Source organism: Homo sapiens, chromosome 7 (genome assembly GCF_000001405.40).
Source record: "Homo sapiens chromosome 7, GRCh38.p14 Primary Assembly".
NCBI classification, from domain to species: Eukaryota; Metazoa; Chordata; class Mammalia; order Primates; family Hominidae; genus Homo; species Homo sapiens.
Window position 1 is genome coordinate 149,431,155 of NC_000007.14, and position 25,147 is coordinate 149,456,301.

The 25,147-nt window shown below is 45.7% G+C and overlaps 1 protein-coding gene across 2 annotated transcripts in view; it reads right to left on the reverse strand.

The window, feature by feature from the left end:
• Nucleotides 1–208: 208 nt before the first annotated feature.
• The window catches only part of ZNF777 (zinc finger protein 777), a 29,700-nt gene continuing 4,761 nt past the window's right edge, over nucleotides 209–25,147 (reverse strand). For both annotated transcript variants that reach the window (NM_015694.3, XM_005249980.4), the window contains exons 2-6: nucleotides 24,023–24,883; nucleotides 22,957–23,083; nucleotides 19,845–19,958; nucleotides 5,421–5,672; nucleotides 209–1,778 (exon numbers count right to left, since the gene is read on the reverse strand). In NM_015694.3, coding sequence (NP_056509.2) covers nucleotides 622–1,778; nucleotides 5,421–5,672; nucleotides 19,845–19,958; nucleotides 22,957–23,083; nucleotides 24,023–24,868 — 2,496 coding nt within the window. In that variant the 5' untranslated portion in view covers nucleotides 24,869–24,883 and the 3' untranslated portion in view covers nucleotides 209–621. The remainder of the gene's footprint in view (nucleotides 1,779–5,420; nucleotides 5,673–19,844; nucleotides 19,959–22,956; nucleotides 23,084–24,022; nucleotides 24,884–25,147) is intronic.

Below are 25,147 nucleotides of genomic sequence, written 5' to 3' on the forward strand. Positions count from 1 at the left end.
GGGTTCCCGTGGTCCCTTAGACGTCAGTCCTGCCTCTCCTCCTCCATTTCAGAACCGGCGGGATCAGCGTCTCCCTCACCACCCAAATGGAGAAGGAACACAAAAAAGGGTCCCAACAGAACCTGTCAACTGACACTAGCGTATGTCCCTCCGGCCTTCTCAATCCCTCCCCTTCAAACCAAACAAAAACGGCAAACAGGAAACGCTCTTCTTTTAAAAATTACTCTATTATTATCAAATAGAACCACAGTATCCAAAAGGTAATTATAAAGTTCTATCCCCAACTAGATGGGCCCTACACCGCCCCTCTGAGTGGCCGGCGGCCAAATCACGCCCCCCGTGCTGATTGGTTTCATCCATTTTATTGTCAAGGAAATTAACAGCCCGAAAGGGTTCCCCAGGTCCGCGCCCTCCCCCCTGGGGCCCCCGGGGAAACGCGGCAGCAAGGGACCTGGTCTCACTGCCCCCATGTCCTTGGGAGGAGGGACGAGAGGAGAGGGGGAGCTCACGGCAAAGGGGCTGGGGGGCGCCCCGCCCCCGCCCGCTGGGCTCGGGCCTGGCGGTGTCCGAGGGGGGGCACGGCCCGCGCACCTGGCCGGGCGGCGGCGGCGGGGCGCGCGCTCACTCGCCCGTGTGGGTCCGCAGGTGGTACTTGAGCGACTGCTTGTAGCGGAAGCACTTGGCGCAGTGCGTGCAGGGGTAGGGCCGCTCGCCCGTGTGCGCGCGCTGGTGCTCCAGCAGGTGATGCTTCTGCGTGAAGCGCTTGCCGCACTCGGCGCAGTGGTAGGGCCGCTCGCCTGTGTGGATGCGCCGGTGTTCCAGGAGGTGGTGCTTGCGGATGAAGCTCTTGCCGCACTCGGGGCAGGCGTGCGGCCGCTCGCGCGAGTGCACGCGGCAGTGGTTGGTGAGCTTGGACTTCTCGCTGAAGCTCTTCTCGCACTCGGGGCACTTGAAGGGCCGCTCGCCTGTGTGAGTCCGCTGGTGGCGCAGCAGGTGCGAGGGGCGGCTGAAGCTCTTGCCGCACAGGCTGCAGATGAAGGAGACCTCATGCTTGCCCGCGTGCACGCGCTGATGGATCACCAAGCTGATGTGCAGGCGGAAGCTCTTCTTGCACTCGGGGCACGTGTAGGGCCGCTCACCCGTGTGCGTGATCTGGTGTTTGGTCAGGCTGGACTTGTGGCTGAAGCTGCTGTCGCACTCGGGGCACTTGTAGGGCTTAGGGCCACCGCCGCCGCTACCAGAGCTGGGTGACTTGGGACGCGGCTTGAGCGCGTGCTTGGGGTTGAACGTGGGCCCGCGTTCGGGTGAGACGCAGCCTCCGCGCACGCGGTGGATGCGCTGGTGCAGCGTGAGCTGTTGCTTGTGCCGGAAGCTGATCTCGCATTCGGCGCACTCGTAGGGCCCCTCCTTGATGTGGTTGCGCTGGTGGATGATGAGGTTGATCTTCAGGCGGAAGCTCTTGCCGCACTCCATGCATGTGAAGGGCCGCTCGCCGCGCCGGTTCCGCTGCTGCTGGCTCGAGGCCCCGCGGTTCTCGCTCAGGTGCCGCTCACCGTGCACGGAGGGCGCCAGCCTTTTCACTGCGGGGTTTCCTAGCTGCAGGGGCGGGGGGCTCTCCTCGCCCTCGGGGGACATCTCCCCGGGCAGCGGGGTCTGGTACATACTGGCCTCATATCTCCCGGACAGCTGCCCAAGGGATTGCAAGTGCTGCGGCAGCTCATCCTCCTCCTCCTCTTCTTCCTCCTCGTCTTGTTCCTCTGTCTTGATCACGATCCCCTCTGCTCCAGGGACAGAGAGAGAAAGTCGTTAGCTGCTGCCTGGCGCCCCTAACCTACCTGGATGGAGGTACAGCACTGCTTCACCCTCACCAAAACATTGCATTATTGGCCCAAATTCCTTCTTTTGGGAAAAGTCCCCTCATTGCGTCCCCTGGTCCGCTCCCCTCCCCCAACGGGGTAGACGCGTAACCCAGACTGGCCTTGCTGTTTGCTTCAGGAATGAGTCCAGACTTAAAAGGGGCTAAAAAGAGTCCTCTTTGGATTTTATACAGAGGACCGCAGGGGAAATCGCTTCCTGTTGGTTATGATGCGAAACTGCTGGTACAGCCGGACCCAGCAGGAAAGAAGGAAACCAGTACACAGAGCCGATGTGGGAACACCTGGATCCAGCCATGCCTGATGCTGGAATACTCACGATTCTCTAATTATATGAGCGATACACACCCCTTTTTCCATTAGGCTACTTAAAGGTTGGGTTTCTACCAGCTGTACCAAAGGGTCTCCACTCCTAAGGTTCTCAGTCTTTGCCCCTCTGAGGACATCTCTGCCTGAACTCTGCTCAGACCGGCCCACTTCTTTCTTAATCCACTTGGAGATTTCTCCTCTTGGTGCCTTTCCTCACCTTCCTCCAGAAATTTCCCTCTCCTCTCCATGTCTGCCTTGGTGATCAAAACCTACAGCACTCCACCCCTCCTTGGAGCCCACAGTACTCACTGGTGCCCACCCCAGGGATCAGGAACCCAGCCTTTTGCAGCCTCTCATGGGTGGAAGATGCACCGGCACAGTCAGACTCGACCACCCTTGAATCTGGATCAGGTGCAGGCAGTGCATGCCCCACCCGGGGATGCCCCCTCAACTCTCTAGCCTGGTCCTTTATGATAATGTAAGTTTTAGAGAAAAGAAGTGGCTCCCGACTCCTGTTTGAGTTTTCTCAAGTGCCTTGTACTTATTTGGCACTAACTGGTGAGTTCTATTTTTAGTCACCAGCTTTGTGTGACATAAGAAAGTCACTTCTCTGGACCCATCTGTGACAGAAGACACAAAAATTCTGTGTTTGCAGAATAATTAAAAACCAACAAGACCTTTTCAGAGTACTCATACCTGTCCTTTTTTTTTCATGAGCACAGTATCTTATTATAGGACGAGTCAAGCAAGAATTCTCCCCATTTTACAGATGGGTCATCCAAGCCCAGAGATATCAAGTGATGTTTCCAAATAGAAAATGAAGTCCTAGGCCTTTCTAGAGTTTGCAGGTTGGGACCCACCTGGTCTACCTCCTCAAGTAACATGGACTGAAGCTAGCAATGTTTGTGACCCAGCCAACGTCTTGTAAGGTTGCTAGTGACTCCCTGTCCTTAGCACTTCCTTGGCCTCCTCTACAGCCAGTGAACTACAGTGGTAAAATTAGGACACAGGTGTGCTGAGTCAAGGCTGCCTCAGTAGTGTTAGGATTCTCAGCAAGAAGCGACCCAGAACATCCTTGGAGCGTGATGCCTAAAAGATCAAGGAGCAGGCAGCTGCAGAGTGTGGTAACTAGTTGCCCTGGTGTTTATCCTGAAAATACTGAGTATGTCTGAAAGGCAAAGGGGAAAATAGATCCTGAGAAGCACTAAACTCTCCTTGAGCATCAAAGGTGCTTATTTCTTTTTTTCTTTTAATTTATTTTTTGAGACTGAGTCTGGCTCTATCGCTCAGGCTGGAGTGCAGTGGCACGATCTCGGTTGACTGCAACCTCTGCCTCCTGGGTTCAAGCGATTCTCGTGCCTCAGCCTCCCGAGTAGCTGGGATTACAGGTGCCTGCTACCATGCCCAGCTAATTTTTATACTTTTAGTAGAGATGGGGTTTCACCACATTGGACAGGCTGCTCTCGAACTCCTAACCTCAAGTGATCCGATCCGCCTGCCCCAGCTTCCCAAACTGCTGGGATTATAGGCATGAGCCACCGCTCCTGGCCGAAGGTGCTTTTTTCTTCATGGAATGGTAAACGCCAAACATTTGGCCCTAAAACTCAAGACTCAAAACTCCACAAACTACTGTTTAGTAGTTTTCTAAAGTTCTACTACAATTAATGGGGACTGCTCAAAAGGCAATAGAGTTTATACGATGATGGTCCCAATTTAGCATATACTCAGAATTTACCTTATGTCTTTTCACTATTCTGTTATGAAAGACAGCATGGTATGTCAAAAACACTTCTGAAATACCATGGAGTTACTTAAAAATAAGGTGGTAGATCCATATATGTACATATTTTTGAGACAGTGTCTTGCTCTGTCACCCAGGCTGGAGTGCAGTGATACAATCATGGCTCACTGCAGCCTCAGCCTCTCAGCTTCAACCAATCCTCCCACCTCAGCCTCCCAAGGAGCTGAGACTACAGGCATGCGCCACCATTCCCGGCTAATTTTTAATTTTTTTGTAGAGATGGGGTCTTCCTATGTTGCCTGGGCTGGCCATGAACTCCTGGGCTCAAGCAATCCTCCTGCTTTTGCTTCCCAAAGTGCTGGGATTACAGGTGTGAGTCACTGCCCTGGGCCTAGATCCATATCTTTTGACCAACGAGATGGTCATTAATAAAATACCATGGGTATTTTATTAAGTGCAAAAAGGCAAATTATAGAGGAATTATCTACAGATAATTTTTAAACACTTTACATCAATATAATACTTTTAAAAACAGAAATGGATGTGGATCTATTTCTAAATATGAAAATACAATACAAACGTAATGGTGAATGACTCACACATAAACGAAACATCCAGACAAAAACAAAAGTCCATGTGGGTTCTACCAATTTTTCAAGGAACACACTCAATTCCTATTTTTTTTTCAGAATACAGAACAACAGCAAAAGCTGCCCAGTTCATCTGATATGTCCAGTATAATACTGTTTCCAAAATTAGATGAGAATAATTCAAGAAAAGGTTCATTTCATTTATGAATACAGTTGTCTAACTTGAGTAAAATATTTATTACCTAAGTCCAATAGTGAATTCAAAAAATACATCATGATGATCAAGTAGGGCTTTTCCCGGGCCTGCCAGGATGGCTCAGCATCAGAAAATCCATCACGAAAGATGTCCTGGGATCAGGCCACCGTGAGCCCCAGTGCCTTACTGTTCTTGAACTCAGAAGGAGCAAGAGTGAGCAGCATGGTGATAAAGTTTTATAATTAAACAAAAATGAAGACTAGGTTCGACCACAGAATGCCGGTGCTATTGTTATTTGAAAACCATGCTCTCCAGGGCTGAAATCTTCAAGGTAGTTGAGGCTTCTAGGGTGATATGAGATGATCAAGGACACGTTGGGAGAGTTCTAGCTTTGCCACTCTCTGTGTGGCCTTGCCCCATCTATTTAACCTCTGTCTGTAAAATGAGGGGTGGGATAGGTGAGCTCTGAGATCCCTTTGCCTGAACCAGTCTTTAGATGTAACCACTTCTTTCCTAGGTTGGAGACGGATTCTTACAAGTCCCGCGTCACGGAGCCTATACTCGAGGCCGTGCTTGGTAATTCTTTCCCACCTGTTGCCCCATCAGTGTCCAGCTACCTCTCTGAAGGAACCACAGCTTTCCCAGGGGGCAGGGGCCCTCTGGGAGGCCTCATGGCAACCCTTCCCCGGCCGTCCCCGCCCAGCACTCACCCGTGCAGTTCCTCTGCTGCACCAGCATCTGCTTCAGTTCGCTGAACTCGCTGGAGCCTTCCGTGGACTCCTCCAGCGTGTTCTCTGGCTCCTGCATGTCCAGGTCTGGCTGTTCCCCACAGGGGTCACCCAGCTCTGAGTCCTGGAAGCCGTGCTCTTCCACCTGTCCCATCAGGGGCTCAGGTGTCTCCAAACTTTCTGAGCCCTCGTCGTTGGTCTGTACCTCGATCTTAATCACGATCCCATCGTGCGCTGAGAGAGGGTGGGCAGGGGTGAGGAGGAGAAAAGAACCCAGAATGTTCATGCCAACTGCCCAGGTTTCTGCAGCCCTACAATTTACATCTCAATAAGTCTTATCTTAGAGACCCTGAAGAAATGTAATATTGAGTTGGAAATGAGTAGACACAGAATTTTCTGGACACCTTGTAGCTTTGAATACCAATACAAACTGTAGTCAAGTTAAAATAGATGCAAAGTTTGTTTTCCATGAGCTCCATAATTAAAAAAAAATATTCAGCATTGTCAGGGTTTATTTTTACTCTTATTTTTTCAATAGAGAAAGGTCTCACTCTGTCACCCAGGCTCGAGTGCTGTGGTGTGATCATAGCTCACTGCAGCCTTGAACTCCTGGGCTTACATGATCCTCCCATCTCAGCCTCCCAAAGTGCTGGGATGACAGGCATGAATGAGTCACTGCGCCCAGCCAGGGTTTATTTTAAAGAGATGCTCATTCCCTTTCTCAGTCAGACCAGCCAACCGGTACAGTTAACACAGTTTCTCTCTCATCTGCTCACTCACAATCAGGTCGATGAAGAAAAGGCTACCTCCTGACCACTCCCACCCTTCGGCCCCATACCCTGAGGTGTCCAAAAAACACTCACATTCCCAAGCACGTATGCATGTACACCATGGGCATTTGGGTTTGTTTTTAGTTAAATAGCATCCTGTTACGCACTGCCCTGAAATTTGTTTCTAAACTTGCCTATAGGTCTGTAGATTAATTTCAAATGTATCATTACATACATAGGTGTCATTTTACATAAATGGGATTATAACATTTTTGGTTTTTAGTGCAGTATTTTTTTCCATCTAATCTGCCTTCCCCTTCCCTTACTTCCCATTTCACCGCTATGACTTCCCAGGTAACTCCTATAATTTACCAGGACTTTTCTCTGTGCTTATGTTGTTATTCTAAACAACACATACACATTTATATGTTTGTTTCTTTTTCTTTTTTTTTTTTTTTTGTCACTATTGGCCTCTTCTGTGTTCCTCTACTCAAATATCTTGTAGAAATCCCTTCAAACCAATTTCTTTTTTTTTTAGACGGAGTCTCGCTCTGTTGCCCAGGCTGGAGTGCAATGGTGTGGTCTCGGTTCACTGCAAGCTCCGCCTCCCAACTTCAAGCGATTCTCCTGCCTCAGCCTCCCGAGCAGCTGGGATTACAGGCACCCGCCACCACACCCGGCTAATTTTTTGTATTTTTAGTAGAGACGGGGTTTCACCGTGTTAGCCAGGCTGGTCTTGATCTCCTGACCTCGTGATCCGCCCGCCTCAGCCTCCCAAAGTGCTGGGATTACAGGCGTGAATTTTTTGTATTTTTAGTAGCGATGGGGTTTCACTATGTTGGCCAGGCTGGTCTCGAACTCCTGGCCTCAAGTGATCTGCCCACCTCAGCCTCCCAAAGTGCTGGAATTACAGGCATGAGCCACCACACCTGGCTTCAAATCAATTTCTACAGTGCTAATACACTGTTAAAAATGCTGTATATATTCCATGGTCAGGATAATACCGTGGCTTATTCATTCTTTCCCTAACAGAAGAACATTCACGTTTTGTTCCCAGAGTTTTGCTATGGTGAACAAATGTTTACTGCAATGACAATAGAATATGTCATGTACACACATATTCATTCATTCATCGAATGTTTACTAGCAGACACTGAGCACCAACTACATGTCATGTGGTCTAACGGCTTTTGATATATCCAGTGAAAAAAACATAGACCTTACATAAGGTGGTAGACACAATAAATAAATTACTTTGTATGTTAGAAGGTGACAAGTGCTGTGAGAAAAAGAGAAAAGAAGCCAGGAGATAAATGAACCAAGCAGCCTCAGTCCTGCCCTCCTGAGGCTCTTCATGCTCCTCTGCCAAATCCATTCATTCCCTTACTAAGAAATCAGACAAACTCATCAGGCTGAAAATGGGTGCTAGATGACCTAAGCTGGATTCCTTCGGATGCGCGGCACTCCTTTAATGCCTCTCTGATTCACCAACTCAACTGGTTTGGAAGTGGATGGAATATAAAGCAGCTCTAATGTTCTCATTTACCCCCCCGCCACAGCCTTAAATGAAGACCTTTGATTCCCTCAGAACTGTGGAACTCTCCCACTCTCTCCAAAGATGTCTGTGTCCTATTCTCTATTAAAAGGAAAAGAAAAAGTCATCCATACCTCCATCCCCTACTTCCTACACTGGCTCAAAGTCACCATCTTTACCTCCCTTTTCTCTCCAATCTCAGGGAAAGTAATGTCTCTCTTCCCTCCTCCTGTCACTGAACTCCTCTGCTTGTTTCCTTAGCCCTGCCCATTTCTTTCTCCCTGGAGTTTTGCTCCATTAGTTGTGTGCCTTTTCCCATCTGTCTTCAATCCTTGTCTCTGCGCTAAATTGTTATGATCCCTCCACAAACATGACCACGACTCTAGCATCAGGAAAACTTCCCTGACTTCACAAACTACTTAAAATATTTTGCTTGCTTACACCTTAAAATGATTTTTAAAACTATGTACTCCTTTGCACCTTTTTGAATAAACATATAAAATGCATCAGTAACTGCAAAAGATGTAATTTCTGGAGTATTGTAAATATTGATACTTTGAAATAAACTCTTCCATCACCCTTTAATGTCACCAATGGAATCTAAGAACCCCGGCAATTTTAAACCCACCATTATTCACTTAAAAATACATGAACAAATTCTTCTTTGATAGCTGGAATTTTTATATCATTCCTTTTCACCTTGAACTTCTATTTCTATTCCCACTTTGCCCACAGAATTTTATCCTAATAGAACATATTTGTATGTTTAGAAGCCTTTTACTGATCACTTCCTCTGCCACTCTGCCACAAAAATGTGTATGTAAGTTGAAAGTTTAATTTTGCTTTCATTTCTAATAACCACAGGTCTCTAAGTGTTCATTTTTTTTCTGGCTTAAGTTATCCTTAGTGATTATCACTATAGAATGATAAATAATTATCCAAGATAGAAAATAAAGAAACTTTGGGAAATGTATCTCTTATAAGGATGAATAGAAATTTTTTCTAATTAGTTTACTTATCTAGAAATCAATATTCTTATTGTAGAATGTACAGTTCAGAATCAATTTTAGTCTTTTTCATTTTTATATATGAAACCTCATTTACATTGGGAAACCTCATTTACATAAATATGTAGATGGGCTGGAAGAAGCTTTGTTATGGAACTGTCACTCAATTCTGAACTTCTGAATTATATGCCACGAAGATCACATGGTCAACATGATCATCAAAAACTGTTTCTAATGACCTATTAGCTCACAACATGATTAGGTTCTTTCAATTTTGTTAAAGGTAAAATATTGCTAACAACCTAAGCTGCAAGAGAACTTGCCATCCAGGCCCCAGAGTGACACGCTGCAGGACATGTATCTTAAAATTCTGAATGTTTTCTGTTTGGTGACCTGGGGGCTTTATGCCTCTGAGAAATGCTTTATAGTAAGATGGAGATGGGCAGGAAGTGACTGTTTTGTTTTGTTTTTTAAGAGATGAGGCCTTGCTCTGTTGCGTAGGCTGGAGTACAGTGGTGAGATCATGGCTCACTGCAGCCTCAACCTCCTGGCTCAAACCACCTGCCACCTCAGCCTCTAGAGTAGCTGGGTCTACAGGCAAGTGCTACCATGCCCAGCTAATTTTTAAAGTTTTTGTAGAGACGAGGTCTCCCTATGTTGCCCAGGTTGGTCTCAAACACCTGGACTCAAGTGATCTTCCCATCTCGGCCTCCCACAGAGCTACGATTACAGGCATGAGCCACCATGCCCAGCAGCCTGTTGTTTTTTTGTTTTTTTTTTTTTTTTTTTAAATAATGGGAGATGTAGATGAGAAGCCACATTTCAGGGACCACATGCATTGTGTGCTTTTGGCTGATCAGTTGGACAAGAAGAGATGGACTAAGGACTGGAAATTGTGCCCTCAAAGCCACCTGTATTATGTCCCTCTTGGGGAGTACCCTTGTCCCCTCAAGAGCATGGGTACCTCAGCTTGAAGACGAGTGCCTTCAATACCTGGCCCTACTTCAAGACCCAACTCGGGTGTCCACCACTCCATCAAGCCTCTTCAGTGCTCTCAGCTGGACGTAGCTGTGCTCCTCCCTGAGCTCTAGGCATTCGCCTGCTCCTCTTTGTGGCACATACTCTACTCTTCCTCCCTCAAAACAGGCAGTATGTACACACTTTCACCTCCCCTCCACTTGCTAAACAGCAGGGAACGCCAGCGTTTCCCACCAAAAATGTCTCCCCACCCCGAACAACTTTTCAAAGAGTATTGACAACCAAGCTGCATTCATTTATAAGCAGGAATTTGTTCTCCCATTTAAAAAATTAATCGAAGACACATACATTGTGGGAATATAGTTTATGAAAAAGGTAACATTTCAATCCAGTGGGGAAGAGTTTAAAAGGAATGGAGACAACTGGCTTCCTGATTAGAAAGGGAAAAAAGCTACTTCACATATTTCACATCAAACTCCTGATGAACAAAAAAATTTATGTATAAATAAGAAATTCATACCTAAGTTTTACAACTTTAAGCTGAGGAACAGGCTATCTGTAACCCTATGGCACTTCAGATATTCCTTCTGGAGGATGTTCGGTTATTCGTGCCAAACATATTAAATGTGCCCAACTCTTATCAACTATAAATTTTGCTATAAATTGTTTTGAAAGGATTCTTGTAGCTTGCTGTTGCCATCATTTGGCTATAAGAAACTTATTTAATCTGTGATTGGTTTTTAATCTTTGTAATAATTCGTGTTCATAAGAACTCCTGTGGGGTGGGGGAAATCCTATAAGTTGTTTTCAAATGTATTAAACCTTTGTGAAGACTGAATTTATTAGTTACTGAAAGTGATATAATGCTATATTTTTAGACATTTAGTTAAAATAAGCATTTAATTACTTAGACTTAGCAATTTTCTTTTTGTTTTCTAGGGCAAAAAATATTTTATTTTGTGTTTCAAATATTTTTATAGGTTTTTTTTGAGATGCTCACAGACCTAAGATCTGTGATCATAGTGTTTACTAAATAAAATAGCTTGAGTAAATATTTCTACACTTGATACGAAACCCAGATTGGGAGGCTGAGGCGGGTAACGTCAGGACAAACTCCTGACGTCAGGAGTTCGAGACCAGCCTGGCCATCGTGGTGAAACTTCGTCTCTACTAAAAAATACAAAAATTAGCTGGGCCTGGTGGCAGGGGCCTGTGATCCCAGCTACTCGGGAGGCTAAGGCAGGAGAATCGCTTGAACCCGGGAGGCGGAGGTTGCAGTGAGCCGAGATTGCGCCACTGCACTCCAGCTTGGGCGACAGAGTGAGACTCTGTCTCAAAAAAAAAAAAAAAAAAAGTGATAAATTTGAATACATAAAAGTTAAAAACTGCTATTACACACACACACACACACACACACACACAGACACACACACAAAATATAAAAGTAAACCACAGGCCAGGCGTGGTGGCTCACGCCTGTAATCCTAGCACTTTGGGAGGCCAAGGTAGGTGGATCACCAGAGGTCAGGAGTTTGAAACCAGCCTGGCCAAAATGGTGAAACTCCGTCTCTACTAAAAATACAAAAAAATTAGCCATGCATGGTGGTGGGCACCTGTAACCCCAGCTACTCAGGAGGCTGAGGCAGGAGAATAGCCTGAACCCAGGAGGTGGAGGTTGCAGTGAGCTGAGATAGCGCCACTGCACTCCAGCCTGGGCAACAGAGTGAGACTCTGTCTAAAAAAAAAAAAAAAGTAAACCACAAACTAGGAAAAGTATTCACATACATACTGTTAGACAAGAGCTAATATCCTTAATATTTTAAAAGCTTTTTACAAATCAATAATAAAAAGACGAGTAATCCAAAAGAATAACAACAAAGATTATTCACAGAGTAGTAAGACATACTAGTAATCAATAAAGGTATGAAAATATGCTCAACATCACCCTTATGGAAAGTCAAATAAAAACATCCAAATATTGTGTTTTTTCTACTTATTACTTTGGCAAATGATAAAAAGATAAATAATACCTATTACTGGTAAGAGTGTGTAGAAACAAACATTCTCATGCTTAGAAGGGTGAAGGCATGTAAATTGGCACAAGTGATTTGAAGGGATTTGCCAGGATCTATTAAATTTTTAAGTGGGTGTATCCTTTGACCCAGAAAATCCATTTCTAAATAAATTCCAGACAAGTGCATGAAGATCTATTTATAATAATCTTTACTGAGGCGCTGAAACTTGTGAACACCCTAAATGCACATCAATGGCAGAGTATTTAAATAAATTATGAAATCAATACACAGAATACTACTGTCAGCTATGAAAAAGAACACGACAAATTTATATATTCTGACGTAAAAATGTCAATGATATAGTATTGAAAAAAGAAACTTGCCAATACTTCTATATTGTCTGATTTTTTTACAATGATAATGTGTATATGTATTACTTATATAATTAAGGCCATGTGTATGTAATCACATGCACATAAAATTGGAATGAATAAACTGCTGACTCTTGAGAGAAAACTATGGGGGACTTTCACTCTCTCTGTACTTTTTCTTTGTGAAATTAAAAACCAGTATTGCCACATTAACTCTCTCTACCAGCTCAAAGTAAATAAATATTGGTTGACACTGACTTTCCAATCTTCGCATGGCTATACTGTTAGGTTTTTTTAATTAAAAAAAATTTTTTTTAAAGTTATACATGCACATAGGCTAGTGGAACATAGTTGAACAGTTCTTCAAAACTTCTTTTTTTTGAGACGGGGCTGCATCTTCCACCCCTTGGATTCAAGTGATTCTCCTGCCTTAGCCTCCTGAGTAGCCGGGATTACAGGCATGGGCCACCACACCCAGCTATATATACATATTTTGTGTACTTTTAGTAGAGATGGGGTTTTACCATGTTGCCCAGGCTAATCTCAAACTCCTGACCTCAAGTGATCCACCTGCCTCGGCCTCCCAAACTGTTGGGATTAGAGGCGCGAGCCACCACACCCGGCCCAAAACTTATTTTTTAAAAAGTTCTTTTCCACTCCTCTGCCCCCATTTCCTGCTCCCCGAAGCAATCACTTCAATGATTCCAGCTGACTCTTTGGTCATTTACCTCCATAACTCTAAGTAACACACTTATATTGCTACTCCTTGAGTTTTCAATTTTAAGCATCATCCATTGACTTCCAAGGGATGACGGTCAGAACCATCTCCTCCGAACTGATCCTGCCAATACAGTTTTGTTGTAATTTTAGTTGGATCAATACTGGGTGTTTACCTCGCTAGATTATATCAATGTTATTTATAACTAAACTCTGTAGTATTCAGTGAGTGCCTCCTACGCCTGTAAACCTTCTTGCTTTCCCTAGATCTGACACTTATTTCTTTTGCCCAGCTTACGACTAATTATCATGAACTTAGCCCCAAACTCCCCCAACCTTACCTTGCTGTGTAACTCTCCTTTCCAAACATTCAAATATATTGGGTATTTATCCATTTCATCTACTTGAAGACAAATTTCTGGGACCTGCGGAGGTGCCCCACTCGACTGGCTGCCTCTAGGTGCACAGCTGACCTCTCGGAATGCCCCTGGGCCGTGTGCCTGGAGTGCCTCCACCTCTCTCTCAAGTTGGGGTTTGTAATGCCTCCTTCTTGGTTTACTTCCTCATTTTGGCAAAGCGCCTGCCCCAGTTTGATAAAGGATTTGTGGAGACTTGAATATCTCAAAATGACTCAGTTTCACTCATATTTAATCGAAATAGTCTGGCTAGACATTGAATTATAAGTTGGAAAATATTTTCCTTTGGAATTTGAAAGGCACTACTCTACTGTCTTCTAGCTCCCAATGTGGTTACAAATGTCTGAGGCCATTCTAATTCTCATTTCTTCGCATGACTCTGTTTCTCTTCCCTGGAAGCTCGTAGGATTTCCTTTGTTCTCAGTTGCTCTGAAATTCCGTGCTGAAAGTGTAGGTCTATTTTCTTCCAGTGCTCTGGGCAGCTGGCTCTTTCAATCTAGAAAATTACGGCTTTAATTGGCGGGACCTTTTCTTGAATTATTTTGTTGATAATTCCCACCTGTTTCTGCTACTCTTTTTCTGGATATTCCTATTATCTGGATGTTGGACTTCCATCCTTCAGTTTTCTTATTCTTTCCCTATTCCCTTCCATCCTTTATTTTTATTTTTTTCCCTATTTTCTTTTCTTTTAGCTTTATTTTCTGGGATGTGTGCTTATCCTCCAACACTGCTCCTGAGTCTCTAATTTGTACTATTACATTTTTTATTTCCAAGAGTTCCTTTCTATTCCTTTTTTAAAAAACAAGCATTACACTTTTGTGTCATGAATGCATTCACTTATTTGATTTAAGGATTTTACATGTGAGTATTCATATATACATTTTTCCCTCTCTGCATGGTCTCTGTTCCTCTAAATGTATTTTTTCTGATTTCTTTACTTGTCTCTGTACACCACAGAGTTTTCCCAAATGTCTTCTCATTCTTGGTTGTCCCCGGAGACTTAAAAGGGGACACTCAAGAGAACAGGGAGCTCAGTGCATTTGGGTGAGGCCTGCTAACTATGGGACTCTGTTTGGCCCATAGGGTGCTTTGGCCAAGTCATTTTACCCAGAAACCTCTTGGGCTGGTCCCAAAAGTCTCCAGATAAGCCTCTTCAAATATCCTGCCCAGTGGGTTTAATTCTGGGTGTTGGCAACATTTCGGGAGTCGAGTTAGGGAAGAAGGCTGGAGGTCTCAACATCTGCACGTCAAGTCTCCTTCTTCCCGTTTTCAATATGGTGCCCCACCCTCAACTGTGCCTGGTGCCCATGTCCAGAGAGCCTCCTTTGCACCCTCCCCAGAGAATAAGCCTGTCACATATCAGGGCTAGGGAAAGGCAGATGCCTGCAGTAGGGACTGAGGGAGGCAATGGGAGCTGAGGGGAGCTTTAAGCGGTCTCTTTAAAAGATGTTCAGCCAGCTGTCTGTGTTTAGCCTCACTTCATTCCTATTTCCAGGGATCCCTAGAGTCTCTGGTACTATTAACTCTTGAGCCCCAAGCAGGTGTGGGGGTGCAAATTGGGTTTCTTCTCAGTTTTCCCCAGTACCAATTTCAGATTCAGCTCACCACATCTATCCACCTGCTTCAGGGCTGAAAAACTTCGTTGCTGTTTCTCCTTTCTTTTTAAAAGTTTCTTCACTCTTGTTTTAGAAGGATTTGGGAGGCCGGATGTGGTGGCCTGTAATCCAAGCACTTTGGGAGTCCGAGGCGGGCAGATTACCTGAGGTTGGGAGTTCAAGACCAGCCTGACCAACATGGATAAACCCCATCTCTACTAAAATACAAAATTAGCCAGGTGTGGTGGCACATGCCTGAAATCCCAGCTACTGGGGAGGCCGAGGCGGGAAAATCACTTGTATCCTGGAGGCGGAGGTTGCAGTGAGCCAAGATCGCGCCATTGCACTCCGGCCTGGCAACAAGAGCGAAACTCCATCTCAAAAAAAAAAGGAAGGATTTGGGAAGGTGGGAATAAATACATGTTCAATCTGCCCTGCTCAACTCAATCTTTCATTGTGTACTGTTTTAAAAAATATATTTTTACTGAATAAGGAGTAATACATGCTCACATCAGAACATTTTAAAAAACATAGAGAAATATGGCTTTGGTATGTTTCCATCCAGTTTTTTTTTAATCTACTTTTGCTTACATCACTGACCTCACTATAGTTACATTTCCCACTTCTACATCCTTAATCCTCCTATCAACTGGATCATTCCCATCAACATTTCAAACAAGCTTTAGCAATCCCCATCTTAGGCAAACAAGAATCCCCCCAACTGTCCCATATTTCCACTCCCCCACAGCTACACTTCTTGAAATGACTGTCAGCACCTGCCATCTCTACTTCCTCGCCTCCCACCTGCTCCTCACCCACTGACTATCAGGCTGCCACCTCCACTAAGGTACCAACGTTTGTCTTCCTAAGGTCACTGATGACTTTTAGCTTGCAATCCAATGGACCCTTTTTAGTCTTCCTGTTCCTAAACCACACAGCAGAATACGACACGGTTGGGCATACTCTCTCCTTCTGGAAGCATCCTTCTCTAGAAATACCCAACAAGGCAGTATCCTAATTCTCCTGCTACCTTTCTGGCCACTCTTTCTGTTTCCCGTGATTCCTCTGGCTCCTTCTTTTTCCACAACAGTGGTTTTCCACCCTGGCTGCAGATGAAAATCACCTTGGAAGCTAAAAAATACTAACATCCGGGCCCCATCATGAACAACATATTCCAAATCCCCGAATCTGCCCCAAAAGCCAGGGTTCTGCAGGGCATGGCTTGTGTTCTCCTCTCTTCCCCCTCTACAGACTGAGCAACCTAATCTAACTCTGCTGCCGACACCCAAATGTCCAAATGTGCCAAGGCCAGATGTCTCTAGCTCAGACCTCGGTTCTGAACTCCAGACTCCTTTATTCAGCTGCTTTCTCAACACCTGCTCTTTGATGTCTCACAGGGATCTCAAACCTAATGTGTTCAAAACGGAATTCTCAGTGTTTCTCCAAATCTGAACCTTACATTACCCTCCCTCTACTCTTACTTAAGCCAGAGGCCTGGGGGCCACCCTTAGCACCTCCCCAGCCCTCCTATTCAACACCCACCAATCCCTAAGGCCTTCCTAGTCCACTGCCAGAATATATCTTGACAACAGCCACTTCTCTCTCAGGGCGATGCCAAGGTTTCCTACCTGGAAGACGGAAAGAACCTGCAAGTAGTCTCCTAGCTTCCAGACCATCCCCCCTGCAGTGAGTTCTCTACGGAGCAACCAGAGCCCTACTTAGTCTTCAGGTTTCCACTAGAAATTCCACATCCTCCAAGAGGCCTTTCTGACTTCCCAAACTCAAGGGCACCTTCCCTGTCGTGTGTCTCGCAGCCCTGGATGCTCTGCGTCTCAGCTTTGTCACAGCTGGTGCCCGTGCTTTCATCTGTGGGGGGTGTTTTGGTTGTTAATGTCAGTCGCTCCACAGGAGTTAAGTCTGAGGGCAAGGGCCTCAGGGTTAATATAGTTCTTGACACAGTACCTGCTACCAAAGAGATCTGATGAACTAAATAAACATATGAGTGAAACTTATGGTTTCAAAACTCTTCATAAATGTGATTTTAGTGTGTAACAGTCTATCATACTGTGATTTATATTTGTACATCTTAATCTATATTTTGGATTCTTTTTCCTGCTAGACTCTCAGGAAGTAAATTATTAGGTCAAATGTAAGAACATTTAAAATATTTAAAATATACTTAAAAATAAGCCAGGTGCAGTGGTTCATGCCTTTAATCCCAACACTTTGGGAGGCTGAGGCAGGTGGATCACTTAAGATTAGGAGTTCATGAGCAGCCTGACCAACATGGTGAAACGTCATCTCTACTAAAGAAAAGTAAAAAAATTAGCTGGGCGTGGTGGCACACACCTGTAATCCCAGCTACTCAGGAGGCTGAGGCAAGAGAATTGCTTGAACCAGGAGGTGGGAGGTTGCAGTGAGCAGAGATCACGCCACTGCACTCCAGCCTGGGCAACAAAGTGAGGCTCCATCTCAAAAACAAAACAAAACTATATATATATATATATATATATATAACTATATATAGTTATACATATAGTTATATATATAGTTATACATATAGTTATATAGTTATACATATAACTATATATATATATATATATATATATATATATAGTAAAGAATACATATATATTTTAAGACTAGAAAGCATCAAATTGCTTTCTCGAGAGACTGAAATGATGAACCCTCTGAGTGGCAATGTCTGAGCACACAGATTTCAGCCATGCCTTCTGGTTCGCTTTACTCTTTGCCAACTTGCTAGGTGAAGATGGTGCCTGGCTTCTCTGGCCTCCATGGCCACCCTTTCAAGGCCGTGAATGAATGGGAGCCCCTGTTCTGAGTATTTGGAGGGTTGACATCTGAATCATCTTTACATCTCTTTGCCCTTGGGAAGCCAACCATTAAATGATAGTTTATTGAATGAATTTACTTAGCCAATTCATAAAATTGTCATGTTTGGTATATTTGGAATTATGAGAAGTCTCAATTTTCTGGACTTTTACCCCTTTGTCTCATACTTTTGGTCTGGCCCATGGCTGGATTTGCTGCCATTCTGCAAAAGGAGAAGGCGCTTGGATGGACAGGTTACCACTGGAGTGCTACGGCTCTGATACCTGCAGTTTTGCAGAACCAGCCTGCAATGGCGAGGCCGGGGCCTTTGGTTTAGCACAGAGGTGCGAGTGTGCGGCCCACTCTGAGGGGCAGCGGTACCTATGTCCTCCCCTTTCCTCCCACTGCAGACTCCCAGGGCCTGGAGATGGTGACTGGAACAAATGACACATTTCAGCCACACAAGGAGGCCTCTGTGAGGCCGCTTCTTCCAGCAGAAGCTCCTGTGGATGTGCATGTGTCAGAACAAACCCAGCCCAGGACCGAATGGATTTGGGTTATTTGCTTTTCAATTCTGGCCCCATTCTGTGGGAGGCCATCTGTGATGAGGCAGGGAAAAGCAGACAGAGAAAGGGGATCCATGCTCTTGCATCCAGCCCTTCCAAGAAAATTCTATGAGAGCAGCACCTGAACCGCAAGGCCCCGTTGGGACAGCAGATTGTATTTTAGGATTTTAACCACAAATCATCTCTCCTGACTTCTCATTCTCTGCCTCGCAACACTTCTTTCTCATTTCTTCCACCTAGAATCTCTCTATTTCTACTTGACCTTTGCTTTTGGATGTGGCCACTCAAACCTTTAAGGTTCAGACTGATTTTCCTCAACCAAAAGTTCACCCTGCCATGTGCCACACTGTCACCAATCCCTCATCCTCATCAATTTTTAAATTCCTCTTTTCTGTCTGCAGGAAGGAACTCAGGATTAGCCCCTCTCCTCGAGTTAAATTTTAGGCAAATCCATAGAAAGTGACACCACTGGATTTCTCTGGGACATGCCAGCACTTGTATTTTTACAGGGTTCTGTCTCTCCCAGAAGTCACCTTCCCACTCAGTACATGGGGCCAACATTACTCCCATGTTCCTAGAACATCTGCTTGGAGCCAGTTGATAGGTCCCCAAATCAACGACATTAGTTCCTAACAAGACCTGGCTGTTGGCCCCAAACAGAGTTCTCCAGGTGGATCATCCTCTTTCAGCAGACATGATCGCCAGTAACTCTCAGCTATGTTCACACGCCACACCTGCCCACGAAGGACAAGGATCAGCTTCTGCTGATGACCATCAAGATAAGTGATGCAAGTCCAAAGGCAGTTCCAAAGCAGGGGCTTCAGAGAGCAACCATGCACCACAAGAGCGCCTGCAGTGTGAGTGTGTGAGCCACTGACCCAGCTGCTGTGAATGGGGCGACCTCCAGGCACACCAACAGCGGCTGGTGTATACTGAGCCACTGCTATGTGCCAATCACTGTGCCAGGCCCTACGGTTAGATATTAGTGCCAGTTCTATTTTATAGATGAGGAAACTGAGACTCTGAAAAGATCAAGCAACTGAAATCCCACCCCCAGTAAGCAGAAAAACTATACTCAGATACAGTCAGCCTCACACCAGAGTGTGCACATGAGCCACACGGCCTCTGGTCAGTCTCGCTGGGTGCATATCTGCTGACTCCACCTACATGCTGTCCTGCTGAAGCTGTGCATGTAGGATGTTTCTGGTAAACTCCATGCCTGCCCCTTATCCCTCCACTGACCACCTGCAGGACTCAGGGATGTGGCCCTTTTCTCGGAAGTTCCAGGAATTTTAAGCACTAATGACTGCTTGACAAGGGACTGCCTTTCTTTGAGTTTCTTGCTTTATTTCCTACAGAGAGTGAGGTGACACTTGGTCATGTCAAAAAATTCCTGAGACAGTGAACCCAACGGCATTCCCATTAATCAACAAGTTGGGCCACTGGTGATCATGGCACTCCAAAGCAGGTCCTGGCACCTGCGGGCCTCCTTCCTGCTAACATATCCTGGCAGGGCCTACCTTGGATTGTGCTGCCTCATGCTGGCGCTTCCTGAGTACTGAAAGATCTAGAATGCAGAGCTGCAGATCACCCTTAGCCACTCACCAGCACTGGGATCTGTCGGCGTTTCGCCCTCCTCAGAGTCTTCCTGCTCCTGCATGGTGGGCCGCTCCCCGCGCTCCATCTGTGACATGAGGTCTGGTTTGGAAATTGCATAGTCTAGGCAGAAGAAAGGGAAAAAAATATGCTCTGGGATGAGGTTGCACTGGATGTTGTTAAGGTATCATCTGTGGGCACGTGATTCCAGGAGCAGCTCCTCGACTGGAGACCACAATGGAAAACCGCCAAGTCTCCCCTTCTTTTCCCAAGAGCCCACTGTGGGTGTGGGGGTGTGGGTGTGTGTGTGTGGCGGGGGGTAGAGGGATCGTGTTGCTCAGAGGTAGTCAAAACCTGCCCAGGTTTTCATGATAAAGGCAGAAGATATTTGAAATTTTGTAAGGTAAAAAACTAATCCTGGCCGGGTGCAGTGGCTCACACCTGTAATCCCAGCACATTGGGAGGCTGAGGCAGACGCATCACCTGAGGTCAGGAGTTCGGGACCAGCCTGGTCAACATGGTGAAACCCCATCTCTACTAAAAATGCAAAAAATTAGCCAGGCGTGGTGGCGGATGCCTGTAATCCCAGCTACTCGGGAGGCTGAGGCAGGAGAATCACTTGAACCTGGGAGGCAGAGGTTGCAGTGAGCCAAGATCACACACTGCACTCCAGCCTGGGCAACAAGAGTGAAACTCCGTCTCAAAAAAAGAAAAAAACAAAAAACTAATCCTGATAAAAATCTAAAAGCCATAAAATATCGATAGATTTTCTTACATAAAATAAGTCTGCAGTTCTTTGGAAATAAAGTTAAAAGATGAAGAAACTTGGAGGAAATATTATACATATATATACATGTTTGACATATGGCAAAGGGTTAATATCCATAGTTATACATAAAGAACTTCTATAACTAGTAAAATTGCAAAGCTATAAATAGGTAATTCATAGAAGAAATATGAATGGCCAATAAATATATAAAAAGATGCACAAGTTCACTGGGCACAGTGGCTCACGCCTGTAATCCCAGCACTTTGGGAGGCCGAGGCGGGCGGATCACAAGGTCAGGAGATCGAGACCATCCTGGCTAACATGGTGAAACCCCGTCTCTACTAAAAATACAAAAAATTAGCTGGGCACGGTGGTGGGCACCTGTAGTCCCAGCTACTCGGGAGGCTGAGGCAGGAGAATAGTGTGAACCCGGGAGGCGGAGCGTGCAGTGAGCCGAGATCGCGCCACTGCACTCTAGCCTGGGCAACAGAGCGAGACTCCGTCTCAAAAACAAACAAACAAACAAACAAACAAAAAAAGATGCACAAGTTCACTAATCATCAAAGAATACATATTTAAATAAATGAAGTAGGCTGGGCGTGTGGCTCACGCCTGTAATCCCAGCACTTTGGGAGGCCGAGGTGGCTGGATCACAAGGTCAGGAAATCAAGACCATCCTGGCTGACACGGTAAAACCCTGTCTCTACTAAAAATACAAAAAAAAATTAGCCAGGAGCAGTGGAAGGTGCCTGTAGTCCCAGCTACTCGGGAGGCTGAGGTAGGAGAATGGCATGAACCTGGGAGGCGGAGCTTGCAGTGAGCCCAGATCGTGCCACTGCACTCCAGCCTGGGCAACAGAGCGAGACTCTGTCTCAAAAAAAAAAAAAAAAAGTAAATAAATAAATAAATAAGGTATCATTTTTCACCTATAAAAAAGGCTAATATTTAAAATAGAAGAACATCAGCTCAGGCCAGGGTATGAAGTGGCATTTTCACACACCCTTGCAGAAATATCAACTGGCTCAGCCTTCTGGAGGGCACCAGGCAGTAGCCATAAAACTATAAATGTGCATCCTGTTTACTTGGCAATCCCACTTCTTAGTATCTGTCCTACTGTAACACACAGAAGTGCACAAATACACAGAAATGTTTATCATAACACTTTGTAACAGTCAACCTACTCTTCAGCAACAGCAGACAGGTCAAAAGCCCTAATGGTTCACGTGGAACACTGCACTGTCTTTCCAAGGAGTCCTACGTGTGCTGACATGGAACACTCTCTATCCCCCTACATTAGGTAAAATAAGTAAACGGGCCCCTCTGTGCAAACCCCAAACTGCATGTGCCTCAGTGCATGTATCATGCTTATATCTGCACATGCAAAAAAAGATGAGAGAGAACACAGGCCAAAGTGTTCATGGTGGTTACCTCTGGGGAGTGGTACTGGTGAATGGGTGGTGGTTGCTCTTAATTATATAAATCATTTAAATTGTTGAATTTTCACAATTAAAAAACACAATTAAAAAAAGAAAAAAGAATTTTAAAAGGAAGGGAATGTATCCTATGGAAAGGTATGTATAAAATTATCAATTCTAGCTGGAATCAAAGTTTCTATGTGACAACACATTTAAATGTTTAAGATAACGTTTTTTTGTATATACCCAAAAAGTTCTCCATATCAGAGAAACAGATATATATACACACACACATATATATATGTAAGTAAAGTATATTTTTCCAGGTTTTCATCGTTAAATATTCTTAATTAAAATCACAAGAATCTACAGACTTCGGGGTAAGGCAGATCTCCATGAAATAAGCATTTAACCTCCCTGATCACAGCCTCAGTGTTCAGGCACCTGAATCATCGAACAGGAGTGTGAACACCTGTCTTAGCCTCCGCAACATCTTGGCTGTGCAGGTCCAAGGAGATGATACTTGTACAGCACCTCAAATGTGGCTGGTACACAGGAGACACTCAGCACACTTTCCTTTCATTCTTTTTTCCTTCCTTAATAATAGTTTGCTGGACAAACTAATTTATTTAAAAAGGGGTCCCCATGGGGAAAAATATGATGACGGAGAGACCACTGATGTCTAGGTCTTTCTCCTCCTCCTTGCCCCAGCAGCTTCTCTGAGAGTGGGGTCTCAATTTACAAGCCATTCTGGCCTGGGCCGCACTGATGTGTGTGGGTATATGAGGGCGTTTGCTTTAATTTGTTGTGATCTCTACAACTCTGTTCTCCTTGCTTGCAACTATTGGCTCTGCTGGGGTTCAGAACTCCCTAAGTTTATGAATGCACTTTGAGCTGGCGTCCAGGCAGCCCCCAGCGAGCGAAGGCTTCTCCTTACCCATGGAAACCAGGGACTCGTAGTTGCCCCTCATCACGTTCTTGTAGAGCTCCTTCTGCCACTCAGACAGGTTTCCCCACTCCTGCTCCGAGAAGTGCACAGCAACATCATCAAATGTGACAGGGACCTGAAACCACACAATAACTCGGCTCAGACCCGCTGGAAGGCAGTGACAGGCCCACGGCTGGCCAATCCCAAGGCCCAAACTCCTGGCTCTGGGCCTTCACCTAGGACTTTTCTAGAAGTCTGGCCACTGTCCTGGCCCCAAAGAGTGAGGGGCCTGTCTTGTCGGATCCTTTTCCTCCCCTTCAGGATATAATTCTTGCAGCTCTAAAGCATGGTCTGTGGACCAGCAGCAATGGTGCTACCAGGTAACTTGCTCAGACCCCACCTTAGACCTACTAAATAGCTTCTGCATTCAGTAAGATCCCGGGGAGATCCATGTGCACAGTAACATTTGAGACATACCGGGCTAGAGAACAGAGTCTGTTTTCTCCCTACATATGGCTGTGAAAGGGGGCAGCAGCACTGAAGAAGAGAAAGCAAGCCAGTCCACACTCAAGCTCTTTCAGAACCTTCTGGAAAATAATATGGAAACCTAACTTCTCTAGCTTTTGAAAGGAAACATCTTGAAATCAGTTTTCCTGGCACTAACATGGCTTATAAGTGAACTCATAAAAATGTGGAGTGGGACAGATCCTTGTGATGTTTAACCCAAGCTCCTTCCTCTGCTGCAATTGTGAAGCTAATGCACCCTCAGTGACTGATGGTAAAGCCTCTCCACGGCTCTCATCGGCCTTCGCTTTGCCTTCGTAGTCTCTCACACCATGGACAGCTCTGCTGAACACCCTTCCAAACTGACAATCCCCGATCCCAGGGGCATTTCTGTACTAGCCTATACTCTCATCAACAGGAGAAATAATTTGATTTTGGCATGTCCTAGCAACTGGGATCACTGTATTTTTTCCTTTATCAACCACCCCTTTCTTTCATATTACACTACATTCCTAAACCACACTCCAATTCAGATCACTTCCTTGGGAAGCCCCAGTTGGGATGTGCTTACCTTGGGAACTTCTCCATTGCTGCCGGGGGGCAGCCGCAGGATCCAGAAATTTCTGTTTTTCAGCAGGTTCTCCATGTTCTCCAGCCGCCTCTGCAGCAGCCCATACTCCTGCAGCAGGGTCCCCAACACGACCCACTTGCTCTCCAGATGGTTCGCGAACTCCACGGCTGTCTTCTCGCAGTCGGCTATCTTCTTTTCATTTGTCCCCGTCCTGCCTTCCAGGGTCAGTAGCCTCATGGCCTGGGCCTCCAGCTTCCTCTCCACTGCTTGGACGGCAGCCCACACAGCCAAGCGGGTGATCTCTGCCGTGGGGAGCGGCTGTTCCTTCTGGACTGCAGAAGAGATCTGGAAAGGGGTGTCCTTTTGGGAAACCGGGCTCTGGAGCAGCGGGTCCATGTCAGTCTCGGGAACTGTTGGGGAAAGGGTCAGGGGGTCTTTCTCAGGAGCTTCAGGGGAGTGAACGGGGGCTTCCTGGTGGTGGGGGGAGTGGGAGAGAAGGGAGACTTCTTGTTCAGCAGCAGCTGGGGGTGGATACTGGGTCCCTTCCTGGGAAGCCAGGGGGCCCTGGAGAGAAGTCTCTTGCTCAGAAGCGGCAGAACACAGGAGTGAGGGTCCCTTCTGGAGCACATGTGGCATCCGGCCAGAAGTCTCTTGCTTGGGAGCACTGGAAGTTTGGGGCAGGGAGCCTTGACGGGGAATGGTGGGAGACAAAGAAGGAATTTCTTTGGGAGGAAGAACGCGGGATTGGAACAGAGTTTCTCGGGGGAGTCCAGCAGGGGCCTGACGTAAGGTTTCTTCTTGTGGAACACTGGGGAACGACAGAGGTGATGAGCGTTGGTTCTCCATGTCCAGCTGCTGAACCTGTGTTCATGGAAGAAAGGAAAAGAGGATTAAAGGCCACAGTCTCCAGCTAGCAAAATAAAACCCAAAGACAAGTATACACATAAAAAGTGCTTCCGTTTGGTAGCAATAATATGTGCCCCTCATATGTGAATCTCTTCTAGAGACCACAGCACCAATTTAGACATCAATTATACCACTATTATGAACCGCAAATGAAAGATGATTATGCTACCTTTTGTTTCTCACAGAGCCATCTCCTTTTTCACAACATACATTGCACGG